Below are 16,118 nucleotides of genomic sequence, written 5' to 3' on the forward strand. Positions count from 1 at the left end.
CAGGCAGCCCCACAGCAGGCTCACCTCACTCTGCCTGAAAGCCATCTTCCTGAAAATTTGGGTGATTTGTGAATTCATAAATTCAATCCTTCTTTATTCCTAATGATTATTGTCCTTTCAAGGGACATTTGTCCTTGGCTTATATCCTCCAGATTGTATCTCCTTAAGTTGCAGGGCTCGCTAATGTCTATTGAGTGTTTGTACTATGCTGAGTGGGATTACATGTGAGTTATTTCATTTCATCCTCATAACAATCTTGGGATGTGAGCACCGTTTCTATCCTCACTCTAAAGACCATAACCATAGCCAGCATTTATACAGCACTATGTCACGGACATCATTCTCTGTGCTTTATGTTTATCAACTCACCCTATCATCACTGCAGTCCTACGGTGTAGATGCCAGTCATCCCCCATTCACTGAGACTGACAGGTTGAGCAAGTGGCACAGGTCACACAACCAGCAAATCAGAGGCTGGAATTCAAGTCTGGGCAGGATGGCTCCCAAGGCTCCTGACCATTCTGATACACTGCCTCCTGTTTTTCCCATAGCATTTCCAGGGATGTCCTAGAAATGGCAAGGGAAGTCCCACTTGCCATTTCAGAAGCCATGGCTACCATTACAAATCAATAGGGTGTGAGCCAGACAAGGCCTGGCTCAGTCACATAGTTTCCTGAGGCGCTGAAGGACAGACCACACTGATTGATTTCTCGGCTGGGTCTTTAAATGTCAGTGTGTGCGTGACCACATCAGACCTTGGGTACAGAAATAAAATGCAGAAGGAAAGGACATTCTAGTGCGTGGGATGAGAGGGAAGCAGGGCAGGAGAAGAGCAACAGCCTGGAGCACACGTGTGCAGGCTGGGTGGGCTTCCTGGGCTGGCGGAAGGGGCCCCATGTACCCAGTGGGGGATGGGAGTGGGGTGAGACCTACACCCTTGACCTTGGACTCCTGTGAAGCTGTTTATGGCCTGACACCAACCCTGGAGAGATGGGTCTTAACCTGATTTAGCTCCCTTATCAGTATTGATTGGCCACTGTTAGGCGCTGCTCATTTGGGCCAGCCTGACTGCCTGAGCACAGATCAACATCCCCAGCGCAGCATGGCAGGGCAAAGGCAGTGCCCTCCTTCCCACCCCCCAGAATTCACCCAGGCCCCCACTGCACACTTCTCTGGGCCTGCCCAGTTCAGTCATTCACTGTTCTAGGATCGGAGGGGACAGGCACACGTGATGGAGACAGAGCAACCTGCCTACTCCCATGCAGCCCGGAAGGGGAGACTGACAGGGTAAGGAAGCCAACAGAAATAGACTCAAGACGAATCTCAGATGTGTTGTGTGCAGGAAAGGAAGAAAATGAGGTAATGTGGGAGAACCCGTAGGGAGGGGACAAGGGAAAGGGGAAGATAGTCCAGGAGAGCCTCTCCAAGGATGTGAGTTTCTAGCAGAATTCTGAGTGATGGGAAAAGGGAGCATTCTGAGAATTGAAGAAAGAGCTCTCCAGGCAGGGGGCACAGCAGAGGCAAAGGACCAGTGGCAGAAGCAGCCTTGGCCTTTCAGACATTGAGTACAGGGAGCAGCAGAGTGGTGGGTGGTGAGAGGAGAGAGGAAGGTGGGGACCAGATGGACCCCCAACCCCTGCCACCCTGTCCCTGTAGGATGGTTCCTTTATAAGCAGCCCAGGTTCATCATTAGGACTTGACATTGGTCCACCTCTTTTTCCCCCTCCCACCCACATCCCTGGACATAGCTTTCGGTTAGCCCCTAGCCCTCACAGTTGTGGTAAAATATTTCAGAGAGTGGCTTGGAATAGTGGCTCATGCCTGTAATCCTAGCACTTTGGGAGGCTGAGGAAGGAGGATCACTTGAGCCAAGGAGTTCAAGACCAGCCTGGGCAACATAGGGAGACTCGTTTCTACAAAAATAATGAAAATATTAGCCAGGCATGGTGGTATGCACCTGTGGTCCTAGCTACTCAGGAGACAGGTGGGAGGATCACTTAAGCCCAGGATGTGGGGCTGCAGTGAGCCGTGACAGCGCCACTATACTCTGGCCTGGGTGATACAGCAGGACCCTGTCCCCCCTCAAAAAAAAAAAAAAAAGATTCCAGAGAGAAGACCCTTACCCAGTCATGCCAAATCCAATATGAGAGGTTAAGGAAGGACCCCAGGGACCACCCAATCCCACCATCTGCCTCCTCTAGTTCTAGCTCATATCACATCCCAGCTGACCACTCACTCATACACGTCTGCCCTGGGCTCCATCTCTGGGCCTCTGCTCCTGCTGGTCCAACATTGATTGGCAATGTCCTTACCCCACATCTCCATGTCGGGAAATCCCTGTCATTTGCCAGCATAAATGATTCCAAATTCTTGAGGGCTTTCCTGACTCCCAGTCACATTCAATCGCAGGTTTGACTTGTTTTAATGCTCCTCAGGCATTTGTTTGAACATCCCTTTGATCTTTCATTTCCTTTTGTCCTACAATGTAGTTTTCTGAATACCCGTCTCTCCCATCATACCACAAAGTCTGTGGAGAGCAAGAATTCAAATGCTGGTTCTGCCATGTCCTGGCTATGAGGTTTTGACAAGGCACTTCACCTTTCCAGATCTTAACTTCCTTTGATTCCCACAGAACTGACCCTGAAACCAGGACATGATATCTGAAGTTTATTGGGAGGTGATTCCAGGAAGTGCTGGCAGGCAAAGTATGAGATGAGACAGGAGCAGGAAAGAACCCCTAATAGGGAGTATTATTCATCAAGTCACCACACTGTGCTATTGAAGTTCAATACTGCTGGGTAACTTTGGGGGACTGCAGAATACCGTTTCCTAACCCGGCTGAACGTTGCACTCATCAGGGAGATTTAAAAAATATGAATGCCTGAGTTCTATCCACAGAGATTCTGACTTAATTGGTCTGGGATATAGGCTGGGCACCAGTATTTTTTTTTACACCCCCAGGTGATCAAATGTGCAGGAAAGTTTGAAATCACTGGTGTAGAATACATCTCAAAGCTGTCCCAGTCAAGAGGTGAAAAACCAGGGTGTTTATCCACCAACTCTCATCCATCTTTGGTTGAGGATGTTTCCAGCGTATTCTGTGAGTGTCCTCGAATGCTACCTTGACCAGAAAACAAAAAGCAAAACAAAACAAAAAACCCATAGATGTTTGCAGTAAGCAGCCTGGGGTATATGAGGGCGAATATGGGAAGTGTGTTAGTGTCTGCTATATCCTTCATCTCTAAGATGGGGGTAATAAATTTGTGAATTTTTGCAAGGATTAGCAAATGTCGGCTAAGTGTCTGGCAGGCACACAATAGGCAGTTACTAAATGTTGTTATTCTGGTTTTTGCTGTGGGTTACTGCTGTATTCCCTTAAGCACCCAACCGGGGGCTTTGTGCCTAGTGGATGCCCAGCAAGTATCAGTCATTCTCTAAGTGCTCCTCTAAAACAACAATGCTGGAAACCTGAAATCAGTGGGGCTGACAAGACACATCACTCAATCCTGTAGTTCTTGAGACTCTGAAACCATGTGTTTCCCTAAGTGATCTGATATTTTTAACCTTGGCTGCACACTGGAATCACCTGAGGACTTGAAAAGAAAATACAAACGCCTGGGTCCCACCCCCAGGGATTCCTGATTTAATTGGTCTGGAGCTAGGTCTGGGCATTTCGGATTTGTAACAGTTCCCCTGGAGATTTTAATGTTGTAGACTTCATGATTAACCAAGGGTGGAGGGATGGGTGGGGGGTTAGGAAATGAGCAGGGAAAGGATAGTTGCATAATTCTTCCCTCTGTTCCATCCCAATCCTCCTCCCATCCCTCCGCTGTGTCTCAGGGCTTCAGAAACTCATTTCTAGCAAAGTGGCTGGAGGCCCTCACAGGCATAACCCCTGCTGCTCCCCGTTCCACAGGGCAGCCACAAACCACCATGCAGGCACCTTCTTGCTCGTCTGACATGTGTCCTCCTCCACATCCTGCTTGCCCGGCCCTAGCACCCACACTGGCTCACTCTGCAGACCCTCACTGAGTGTCTCCCACACATCAGACACTAGGTGAGGCACAGGGACACAGGGATGCTGCAATCCTTACAGTTCCTGCTCTGAGAGGAGAATAATGCACAGAAACCTACATGTTCAGGGCTCCAGTGGAAGTCTGCATCCTTGCTGTGAAGCAGGGGAGGAAAATCATGTTCTCCTGGGCAAGAAGGAGAGTGCCTGGAAAGGTTTTCTAGAAGAGCCTCACTGAGATAGGTAGAAATAAACATCCTATTTTTTTTTTTTTTTTTTGAGATGGAGTCTCACTGTGTCACTCAGGCTGGAGAGTGGTAGCATGATCTCGGCTCACTGCAACTTCTGCCTCCCAGGTTCAAGTGATTCTCCTGCCTCAGCCTCCCAAGTAGCTGGGACTACAGGCATGTGCCACCACGCCTGGCTAATTTTTGTATTTTTAGTAGAGACGGGGTTTCACCATGCTGGCCAGGCTCGTCTTGAACTCCTGACTTTGTGATCCGCCCGCCTCAGCCTCCCAAAGTGCTGGGATTACAGGTGTGAGCCACTGCACCCGGCCAACATCCCTTTTTTATAGATGAGAAATTTAAGTCACCAGGGAGAGAGGCTGATGTCAGAGCCTTTGTGAAGTTCCAGGCAGGGTGCTGGGCACTCTACCCATATCATTAATAACAATAATAATAGCTTGTTCATTTACTGTGTGCCAGGGCCCTTCCAAGTGCTGGTTGAACCCTCACAACACTCCTAGGAAGCAGATGCAATTATGAATATTTCCCCATTGCACAGATGAGGAAACCGAGGCTTGAGGAGGTGAAGTGACTTGCCCAACATCACACAGGAGTAGTGGAGCCAGAATTGTAGCCCAGGCTGTTTGGCTGCTGAACCTCTTCCCTTGACCTTGACATTGACAGCCTCCCATCATTCTGCTCATTCTCATAATCCAATGAATGAAGGAGGCATTAGAAACGTGCTGTTTACAATCAAAGACAATAAAGATCAGCGAGGCCACAGCCACACAGAGGGCAAGCTACAGGCAGTGAGTCCAGTCCTGGCCTGCCTGATTCTGCAAGCCCTCCTTGGTGCTTTGCTCCCATGGTCCAGCTTCCCTTCCATGCCTCCACTCTGTTTGTGTAGCTGCAGGTTCTCCCAAGTATTTCCTCCCCAACTGAAGACCAGGCCCAAGGAGCAGACCCTGCCAGCCGTCAGCTGAGCCTTGCCGGGTCTGGGCTACAGTGGGGCCTCCTTTCCCACAGGCCCCTACAGGAACTCCCACAGTCATCAAGTAGGGGCCCACTCAGCGTAGAACTGACATCGCCAGCCCCACAAGGCTGGTGCCTATTGGCAGGGCCCAAGGATGGCTTGATGTTTCTGCTGGGGTGTCTTGCCGTGTCCCCGTTTTCATCATATTTTTAACCGGGGGTGTGGGGGCGCCAGGAAGTCTGTGATTTGCTGGGGTGAGCACAGCCCGGCCTGTATCCAGCATCCAACATCTCCTTGGTACCCAGCTGGGCAGATACATCAGGACTCTACCCTCTCTCCCCTCCCTGAGCCTTGTCCCTTTGAGAAAGCCCAGGAAGGCAGCTCTGCACGCTGAGAAAACACTTGCTAACCTAAGGGCTTGTAATGAACCAAATTCTGCTGAATTAATTGGATGTCGCTAGCAGTGTCAGGAAGGGGGTTGGGGAGCAGTGGCATCCACCAAGCCTGGGGATGGGAAAGGCGGGGGCAGGACAGCCCACAACACAAAATACTTCTGCACAGCTTGTGCAAGAGAAGAATTCCTCATTGTCAGCTCTTGCCAAAATAGCCAAGGCACCCACTCTCGCCTCAGACAGCACCTCTTTTCTGAAACTGGACTCCCAGCCTGCAGCTTTGAACTTGGGCCTCCAGGTGCATCTGTTCTTGTTCACAGGAGCCATAGCACAGCCTTGATGATAAGAATGAGCCTGAACCAGCCCCCACCGAGCTTCAGGGTCAAATTACAAAGGCATCGGGAGGCTCTATCTCTTGGCTGTACATCCAACTTCCTGCCTTGATGGAGCAGGCAAGTAAAGAACCCCATGCTGGTAATCACATCTAGTTAAGTGTCTGGAGGGACTCAGTGTGTGTGGTCATCAGCTGGTCTCCGCACAGAGGGGGCGCAGAGACAAGAGCAGAGACAAGAGCAACTGCTGGAGGGACCTGAGCCCAGAAGTCTTTTTTTTTTCTTTCTTTTTTTGAGACAGAGTCTCACTCTGTTCCAGGCTGGAATGCAGTGGTGTGATCTCGGCTTACTGCAACCTCTGCCTCCCAGGCTCCAGTGATCCTCCCATCTCAGCCTCCCAAGCAGCTGGGACTACAGGCATGCGCCACCATGCCTGGCTAATTTTTGCATTTTTTGTAGAAACAGTTTTCCCCATATTGCCTAGGCTGGTCTCAAACTCCTGGGCTCAAGTGATCCTCCCCCCTTGGCCTTCAAAGGTGGTTGGGATTGCAGATGTGAGCCAACGTGCCCAGCCTGGAAGTCTTATCCTAGCTTTGCTGTAAGTGGGCTGTGTGACCCTGGATAAGTCACTCCTCTCTCTGAGCCACAGTGTCTTCAACTGAGGGATAAGAGTTGGAATGATCAGTTCATCTTAATCTGTGCATCTCAGACACTGGGAAAAGGCAGGGGTCTTAAGGGCATTGCTAAGGTTTAGAAACTTTGCATGCACTGTACACTGTGTGTGGGTGAGGAAAAAATAGCTCTCATGCTCACATACACTACTATTTTTCAAATGAACATAGAATTGATTGTTTTTAATAAAATAAACATTTGTTTTTAAAGCAGTCACTGAATTCACAGGAATTTTGGTCTTTTTTTTAATGATACTTTATCTTTTTTATTTTTTATTGTGGCAAAATATACATAACATAAAATTGACCATTTTCACCATTTTTATAAGTGTACAGCTCTGGGGCAGTAAGTACATTGACATTGTTGTGCAAGCATCACCACCATCCATCTCTGGGAGCTTTTCATCACCCCAAATGGAAACTCCATACCCATTATACGGTAACTCCCATTCCTTCCTTCCCCACCCGCCGGCCCTGGTAACCACTAATCAATGTTTTCTCAATCAAAAGACACTAAAAATGCAACAACTCTCTCACACGGGGTCCATGGAATAACTTGATGTTGAGAAGAAGTCCTACTTCCCAAAAAGGTAAGACATCCCTGACCTAGAGGTGCTAAGCCCCTTCCCGAACTGACATTGAATGATTCTACTTTTCTAATGGCAGGAAGGAAAAATCAAGCTGTTAATTTTTTTTCCTGGAATGAAGATGAATTTAATTTTTTTTTCCTTTTCATTCAAGATGGGTACCTGGAGGTAGAATCTACAAAAAAAACTTGGAAATGTCAGAGTTGTGGTTTCCTCTAAGGGGCTGGAAATAGCACGAAGAGGCTTGTAGGGAGCAGGAATGTTCTAGATCTTGATCTTCCAGTGGTCACATGGTATGTTCCTATGGAAAAAATTATCAAGCTGGCTAGGTGCAGTGGCTGTGCCTGTAATCCCAGCACTTTAGGAGGCCAAGGCAGGAAGATTGCTTGAGCCCAGGAGTTCAAGACCAGCCTGGGCAACATAGTGAGACCCTGTCTCTATAAAAACTTTAAAAATTAGCTGAGTATGGTGGCCCACACCTGTAGTCCTAGCTACTCAGGAGGCTGAGGTGAGCAGATCACTGTGAACCCAGGAGTTAGAGGCTTCAGTAAGCTACGATCGCACCATTGTACTCCAGCCTGGGTGATAGAGTGAGACCCTGTCTCTTAAAAAAAAAAAAAGAAAAGAAAAATTATCCAGCTGTTTACTTCAGATTTATGCACTTTGTTGGATGCATATTATACCTGCTGTGACACCATTTTTTAAGTGGAGTGAGTCATTCAGTTCAAATGGGTGCAGATAACAACATCACAGTCAGGGAAGGGTCTCACCTTTCCCCTGCCAGTTTGTTATGTAAAGCAAGGCAGAATCTGTTCTGTCCTGAAATAAGGCCAGGTAATGCACCATTTGTTTATTCATTTGTTTAAGAAAACATGTGGAATGTCTTCTATGAGCCAGGTCCTATGCAATGCCCTGGGAATAGAGAGAAGGTCCCGGACCTCACAGAGCTGTATCAGCCGTCACTCTCACTCATCCACCTACAACATGCATGGTCAAGTTCATTTTCACCTCACCTAAACAAGTCCTGCTGAAATCTAAGCTCATTTCCTGTCGCTACTTTCTCAGCAGAGGTCATCTTAAAGACTCTGAGATCATACTGTGAAACTCCGGCCAGATGATCATTAGCAGGGAGTAATCCTCTTTGTCTGGCAAAACCACCTCGATTCTTTTATATACCTGCCCATCTTCAAACCCTCTGGTCAGTGTTGGTTAACACTAACAATGTGCTACTACAATTTACCTGTTTATGTTTCTCTAAGCTAGAACTTCTTGAGGACAAACGCTTGCTTTATTTTTATTATTATTATTATTATTAGAGACAGGGTCTCATTCTGTTGCCCAAGCTAGTGTGCAGTGGAGCAATCACAGCTCACTGCAGCCTCGATTTCCCGGGCTCAAGCAAACCTCCCACCTCAGGCTCTTGAGTAGCTGGGACCACAGGCATGTGCCACCATGCCTGGCTAATTTTTTAATTTTTTGTAGAGATGGGGGTCTCCCTATGTTGCCCAGGCTGGTCGTGAATTCCTGGGCTCAAGCAGTCCTCCTGCCTCAGCCTCCCAAAGCGCTGGGATTCCAGGTGTGAGCCACTGTGCCCAGCCTGTATTAATTTTTGTACTAATTATATTTATTGAACATCAAATAGGTGCATAGAACAGTGCCTGGCACATGGTAGGTCCTCATGAAGTTGACTGAATGAATAAGCAAGTTTATAAGTGAATAAATGGATGGAACAACAATAAGCCCAGAGTAGCTAAATCACAGGCTGAAGGTCACACAGCAATGGCTGGACTGGGAGGGACACCTGTCCCCAGACTTAGGCCTGCCCCTCTTCCCTTGGCAGGCAACAGCCACACTATAAAACTTTCCATCTATTCCTTTGAAGAGGTGGGTTTGATTTATATCAGCCATCAGGCAGCAAAAATATGGGCCTTCAAACTTTTATTGCCTTTTTATTATTCCTGGTGACGCACAGAAATATCATCCAAAACATTAGCAATTACTTTGAAGGTGCGTGTTTCAAAGGCTTGGGGATGGGGTGTTTTCTAATTTGATAAGTCAGGGTGTTTTCTGCCAGGCAGGCCCAGGGGCATCGGCAGGACTGGAGCTGATTCAAAGGCAGAATTGATCTTTCAAGCCTCATTTTCATTTCCATTAGCACCCTATCAGACACCTTATCCCTGAGCCAGTTCCTATCCATGTATAATTTATACATTTGATTTCAATAGATTAATCTCTGCCTCTTTCACAGGAGAGTACAGCAGAGACGGTTCTCTCTCTCGTTTTCCATAGGGAGAGTAATCATATATATTTCCATAGATCTCAATCCGTTTCCACCTAGAGAATTTCTTTTAAGATTAATTCCAAACTCACTGTCATATTTATTTAGTTTTTAGGACTGGGTGGAACTGTGGGTACGTGTGATAATTTCTGTTTATGTAGGAGGTGGGCTTATTCCAGGCATACCAGGGAGGAGACCAGCCTATCTCCTCCTGGTGCTTAGGAATGGCCATCCACTTTGGGGGTGAAACAGGGATGTAGGGAGAAGACTAAAGCCACCCTCCCCTGGAGCTAGGGTCAGCGCCCACTGACCTCTGACCCAAGTGTAGCCCTCCATCCCCTGAGCTCCAGGGCTTCTGGAAGAACACCAGAATAGCACAAGACAAAGATAAGATACTCTTTCCAAAACCTACCACATTTCCACAATCCAAGGCTCTCTTATTTCTCCCTTTCTCCATTTTTCTTCCCAGTGCCCTCTGGATTCCAGAGTCCAATTTTGGAATCACAGTTTTCAGAACTCTCTTGGGCGGGGCACTGTGTGTAGCTCAAACCTGTAATCCCAGCACTCTGGAAGGCTAAGGTGGAAGGATCACTTGAACCTAGGAGTTCAGAACCATCCTGGGCAACATAGTGAGACCCCATCTCTACAAAAAAATTTAAAAAATTAGCCAGGCACAGTGGATTGCTTCTGTAGTCCCAGCTACTCAGGAGGCTGAGGCAGGAGGATTACCTGAGCCCAGGAGTTTAACGCTTCAGTGAGCTATGATGGTGCCACTGCACTCCAGCCTGGGTGACAGAGTGAGACCCTATCTCAAATAAATAAATAAATTAAAAAATATTAAGTACATAACTTTTTAGAAAATACAAATTGCCTATCTGATTTGGTGTAGTTGACAAATTAAAAAAAAAAATACAAGCCAGGCACAGTGGCTCATGCCCATAACCCCATACTTTGGGAGATTGAGGCAGGGGATCACTTGAAGCCAGGAGTTTAAGACCGGTCCGGGCAACAAAGTGAGACCCCCATCTCTATAAAAAAATTTTTTTTAAATTAGCCAGTCACAGTGGCATGCACCTGTAGTCCCAGCTTCTCAGGAGGCTGAGTCAGGAGGATAGCTTGAGCCCAAGAGTTCAAGGCTGCAGTAAGCTATAATCATGCCACTGTACCACTCCAGCTATTTGGGAGGCTGAGGCAGGAGGATCATTTATTTGAGCTCAGGAGTTTGAGGCTGCAGTGGGCTATGATGGTATCACTGCACTCCAACCTGGGCAACAGAGCGAGACCCCGTCCCAAAAAAAGAAGAAAAAAGAACTACCTTGGCAGTGATTGAACTCCCTCTCCCCATTCCTTATAGCCAAAGCCTCTTCTCAAGAACCCTGTGTTTCTCTGTTTATGGGCAATTTCACCCCCTGAGAGTCAAGCCACAAGCCTTCCTGCTGGAAGTTCTTCCTGGTTGGGCAGCATGGCAGATTGTATTTTCCAAGATGGCTGCAAAAAGATATCCCATCCCACAGGTCCTTACAACGTGACACTGATAATTCTCCGATTGAGAAATGGGGTCTACATTTCCTCCAGTTGAATCTAGGCAGACTTGTGGCTATGGCAGAAGTAACGTTTTTGCTCCTGCATGCTTATTTTAGAACTCTTGTTCTTGGAGCCCAGCTGCCATGCTGTAAGGAAATCCAGACCACACAGAGAGGCTACATGTAAGTGTCTGGGCAACAGCCGCGACTAAGGTGCTTGCAAACAGCCAACATCAATGTCAGTCATGTGAATGAGGAAACCTTTGGAATGACTCCAGCTCCAGCAAACATCTGATTCTAACAAAGACCAAGAGATCATGAGCAAGAATCACTTAGTGAACCCCTACAGAACCATGAGAGATAATAATAGAATGATTATTGTTGTCATTGTTGTTTTTGAGACAGGGTCTTGCTCTGTCGCCCAGGTTGGAGTGCAGTGATGCAATCATGGCTCACTGCAGCCTGAACTTCCCCGGCTCCAGTGATCCTCCCACCTCAGCCTCCCAAGTAGCTGAGACTACAAGCACATGCCACAACACGGCTGATATTTTTGTTTTTTGCAGAGATGGGGTCTCACTCTGTTGCTCTGGCTGGTCTTGAACTCCTGGGCTCAAGTGATCCTCTTGCCTTAGCCTCCCAAAGTGCTGGGATTATAGGCATGAGCCACTGTGCCTGGCCTGATTGTTATTGCTTTAAGCTGCTAATTTTGGGGGTGCTTCATTTTGCATCAATAGATACTGAAACAGGCATGGTTAGCAGAGCAATTGGAGATAAAAGTGAGCCTCTGGCAGCTTCCCCCTCTCCAGCTTAAAAGACATCCCACATTTATACAAAATCACATGCAAATGAGTACTGAGAGCCTCAGGTCCTCCCTCCCTCAGCAAACATTTGGAAAGGAGAAGATGGGAAAGGAAGAGAGACAATATTCATTGCATGCCTGTCATATACCAAGTAGGTGTCTTCTAACCCATTATACAGCTAAAGAAACTGAAGTCCAGGGAAGTTAAGTAACTTAACCAAGCCCATACTGCTAGCAAGTGTGCTGTCTGTGAAGTGGGGCCTGCATAAGTCGCCCATGGACTGAGACACATGTGGAGGGAAGCGGTGCTCAATAAGTATTAGTGGAATGAATGAAAAAATAAATGAATGCACACCCCCAGTCTTCTCTTTGTAGCCTTTCTTTTTCCAGTGGCTCAGAGGGAGAACCCACCCAGTTTGCTTTTCTCATGAAGGGCAAGAGGAGGAAGGAGGTGGCTGTTGGCTGAGTCCAAGACCCCCTGTTGCTGGGCTCCTGCAGATAGGGTGGCCTTCTCTGCCAGCTGGGAGTTGCCATTCTGTTGTTTCTCTCCAGTCATGGGCTCAGGGCTACCTCCTCTGGTCTCAGTCCTCTTTCGGGTGCAGCTCCCCGCCTGAGCTTCAGGCCCATCTCAGCCCATCTTTCCTGCATGTGCAGCCTCTGGTGTCAGTTCCTGGGGCAGAATCAATGCCAGAGTGATTGCCACCACAGAAAGGTAGCCAGGCAGGGCCAGCAGCTCCTTCTTGCACCCTTGTCCTCTCCAAGCACAACTGGGATCAGAAATAACCTTCTCCCTTGCCAAGGCATTTGAGGAGGACTGCAGGCCCTGCAGCTATAATGTCTTTCTCTTGTTCTTTTTTTTTTTTTTTTAACCCAGCAAATCATATTTTCCCAGGAAAGAAGGAGAAGAAAGCAAGCATGGAGAGGGGAGGAATTTACACCAACCAAACACCTTCCACATCCCAGGCACTGTTAATGTGTATTCATTATCTCATTTAATCCTCCTAATAATGCTGTGAGGTACATATTATTATTATCCCTGTTTTACAGATGAGGACACGGAGACTCAGAGAGGGTAAGACAGTTTCTCAAAGTTACACAGAGTAACTAATGGGAGTTAGGGTGAGGTTTCAAGCCCAGCCGAGCCTGTATGGCTCTAAAGCCAATGCTGTTTTCACTATAAGCTTTTTCCTTTTTCTCTTTCCTAGGAAGCAGAATCCTCTTGCCCCTGGAGCCTATGGGGCCATCACAGGGCCAGGAGGTAACCTGATCTCCATCACCCAAGTATCATGCACGGAGCTGGGGCAAAACTCTGTCAAAGATCACAAACAAATTACTCAGTCAAATGTATCCGAGCCACCTCTGGTTCCTCACTTTTGTGTACAAGACAATTGAACTTCTGATATTTGGTTCTGGCCCACTCAGCACTTCAGAGCCTTCAGCCGACCATAACCCTGCCTCCCAGAGCTTAGATCAAGCCAAATAAGGAGCTCTACTCCTTTCCCATATATCTGACCTAGCCCATCACTGAATTCCATTTCTGCTAAATACCGTGATAGCACAGTGGGTCAGCACCCAAGTTCTGGAGCTACACTACCTGGGTTCAAATTCTGGTTCTTAATACTAATAGGACCTCTAGCAAGTTATTCGACCTGTGCCTTGGCTTAGTTTTCCCACGTGCAAAATGGGGTTAATAAAAACACCCAACAAATAAAGTTGCAAGGACTCAGTGAATTAGTACGCAGAAGGGCTCATCATATTGTAAGTTGGCTATTGGTGCTATTTCTGGTTTGATCTAAACACTCTCCACACCCAGAAAGAACACATCCCAGGGCTTGCAGCAGCTCACACTGCAGACCACACTAAACAGCCCTCCCAACCCCTCTTCTCACCTATCACCTCTCAGAGAACCAGCTAGAGACTGGCCTGGAAGCCGTTCAACATAGACAAGGATGCTCTTTGAAGCTGGCTGGGTATGGCCTTAAATAACTCACAAGCCAGCTACCTCCTCTGTTTTCCCTCATGCCGCACAAATGGCTTCACTAACTTCAGGCCTCACTTTGAACCCTCACATCATTTCCTGACATTGCTGGTGCCTGGCCTGGAGGCAGCACCTTACACAGTAAGGAAAAGCAGCTGCTCATTACCTCGCCTCCCCACCTCCATTAGGATAAAAATCACCTCCCAAGATGGGACTCTACAGCCAGAGGGTGAATTGGTGACCTCATTGCTCGGCTCACTAGGTTCCAGGCATCCCTAAATGCCAGTGATCTTTCCTTTCCCTCTGATGTGTCGATGCCAGCCTTTCAGTGGCCAGGATCCCTCCCCTGGCCCCCAGCCTGGTTGTAGAACCACCCTGGCGTGTCAAAGGACTCTGGATTCCAAATGGCATGTTTAGAAGTGTGTTTACTGCCTGTGTTCGTGGTTTTCTACCATCAGGACACCGACTGTTGAAAGCAAAGTTCAAGCCAGGTTGGTGCAAGTTGCAGAAGCAGAAAAAGGATTCTACGCTACGCCTCTCTCCTTCCTTCAACTCAGCTATCCTGGACGCACTAATGTAATGCCATTGTGTTAGTCTGTTTGGGTGGCTATAACAAAATACCACAGACTGCGTGGCTTATAAGCAACAGAAATGTCTTTCCCACAGTTTTGGAATCTGGGAAGTATGAGATCAAGGTGCCAGCAGATTCAGTCTCTGGTAAGGGCCTGCTTCCTGGTTCACAGATGGCAGCTTCTCACTGTGTCCTCACATGGTGGAAGGGGCAGGGGTTCTCTCTCAGGCCTCTTTTATAAGGGCACAAATCCCATTCATAAGGGCTCCACCCCAGTGACCTTATCACTCCTCAAAAGTCCCACCTCCTAATAACATCACCTTGGGGGCCAGGATATCAAAATAGAAATTTTAGAGGAACACAAACATTGAGACAATAGCACTCCATTTATCCACCTGTCCACTTGTCCATGTTCACTGTGCACAGCATTTCCTGGCCCCTCCTCTCCACTGACATATCTTTGTTTCTATATCAGAATTTTTTAAAAAGACATTCAGTAAGCTTCTGATTTGAAGCAGGCCATGTGCTGTTTGGTATGTATTGTCTCAATTACTCCTCACAAATACCTTGGGAGGTAGGTATTTTATATATATATATTTTATGTTTTAAAAATTTTATTTATTCATTCATTTATTTATTTGAGACTGAGTCTCGCTCTGTCGCCCAGGCTGGAGTGCAGTGGTGTGATCTCGGCTCACTGCAACCTCCACCTCCTGGGTTCAAGCCATTCTCCTGCCTCAGCCTCCTGAGTAGCTGGGACCACAGGCACCCACCACCATGCCTGGCTAATGTTTGTATTTTTAGTAGAGACGGGGTTTCGCCACGTTGAACAGGCTGGTCTTAAACTCCTGACCTTGTGATCCACCCACCTCAGCCTCCCAAAGTACTGAATTACAAACATGAATCACTGTGCCCTGCCACGTATATATTTTAACATAGGGTCTTGCTCTGTTACCCAGGCTGAAGTGTATTGGCACTAACACAGCTCACTGCAGCCTCCACCTCCCCAGCTCAAGAGATCCTCCTGCCTCAGCCTCCTGAGTAGCTGAGACTACAGGTGTGCACTACCATGCCTGGTTACTTTTTTTTTTTTTTTTTTTTTGTGCAGAGATGGGTTCTCCCTATGTTGCCCAGGCTGGAATACTATTATTAACCCCATTTTATAGACCCAGAAACTGAGCCTCAGAATGGTTATGAAACTTACCTGGATTCCACATCCAATGAACAGCCACACTGGGATTTAGATGAGGTCTAGCGAACTTTAGAACCCAGTTTTGTTTTGTTTTTTTTTTGAGACGGAGTTTCGTTCTTGTGCCCAGGCTGGAGTGCAATGGCGCAACCTCGGCTCACCGCAACCTCCGCCTCCCAGGTTTAAGTGATTCTCCTGCCTCAGCCTCCTGAGTAGCTGGGATTACAGGTATGCGCCACCACACCTGGCTAATTTTGTATTTTTAGTAGAGATGGGGTTTCTCCATGTTGGTTAGGCTGGTCTCGAACTCCTGACCTCAGGTGATCCACCTGCCTCAGCCTCCCAAAGTGCGGGGATTACTAAGAACTAAGTCTTGTTTTTTGTGTGTTTTGATTTGATTTGATTTGATTTGGGTTTTGTAGAGGCAAGATCTCCCTATGTTGCTGAAGCTAGTACTGAATTCCTGGACTCAAGCAATCCTCCTGCCTCGGTGAGGTCTTATTTTAATAACAGCAGGTCTGGGTCCCTAAAGGACTCTCTGTGACATATGCAGTGATTGGTGTTGCAAGAAACACCAAAGGTAAAG

General features: G+C 47.5%; 2 long non-coding RNA genes across 3 annotated transcripts in view, besides 2 other annotated features; one reads left to right on the top strand and one right to left on the bottom strand.

Moving 5' to 3' along the window:
• LINC01992 (long intergenic non-protein coding RNA 1992) overlaps positions 1 to 16,118 on the bottom strand; it is a 62,784-nt gene that overhangs the window by 22,403 nt on the left and 24,263 nt on the right. The window lies entirely within an intron of this gene.
• On the top strand, positions 833 to 13,506 carry LOC124903962 (uncharacterized). 2 transcript variants are annotated; one of them, XR_007065682.1, is made up of 2 exons: positions 833 to 1,359; positions 13,000 to 13,506. It is a non-coding gene; the product is annotated as an uncharacterized LOC124903962 (long non-coding RNA). The 2 variants fall into 2 exon arrangements; XR_007065683.1 differs by having other exon boundaries at positions 833 to 1,287.
• Positions 5,743 to 6,604: an enhancer, noted in NCBI's record as "H3K27ac-H3K4me1 hESC enhancer chr17:26284095-26284956 (GRCh37/hg19 assembly coordinates)". NCBI's record gives its function as "activates a minimal SCP1, AML or CMV promoter by ChIP-STARR-seq in naive H9 embryonic stem cells {active_cell/tissue: H9 hESC(naive)}" and the evidence as "EXISTENCE:reporter gene assay evidence [ECO:0000049][PMID:30033119]".
• Positions 7,686 to 8,395: an enhancer, noted in NCBI's record as "OCT4-NANOG hESC enhancer chr17:26286038-26286747 (GRCh37/hg19 assembly coordinates)". NCBI's record gives its function as "activates a minimal SCP1, AML or CMV promoter by ChIP-STARR-seq in primed H9 embryonic stem cells {active_cell/tissue: H9 hESC(primed)}" and the evidence as "EXISTENCE:reporter gene assay evidence [ECO:0000049][PMID:30033119]".

The sequence above is a fragment of the Homo sapiens genome, chromosome 17 (assembly GCF_000001405.40).
Source record: "Homo sapiens chromosome 17, GRCh38.p14 Primary Assembly".
Classification (NCBI taxonomy): Eukaryota; Metazoa; Chordata; class Mammalia; order Primates; family Hominidae; genus Homo; species Homo sapiens.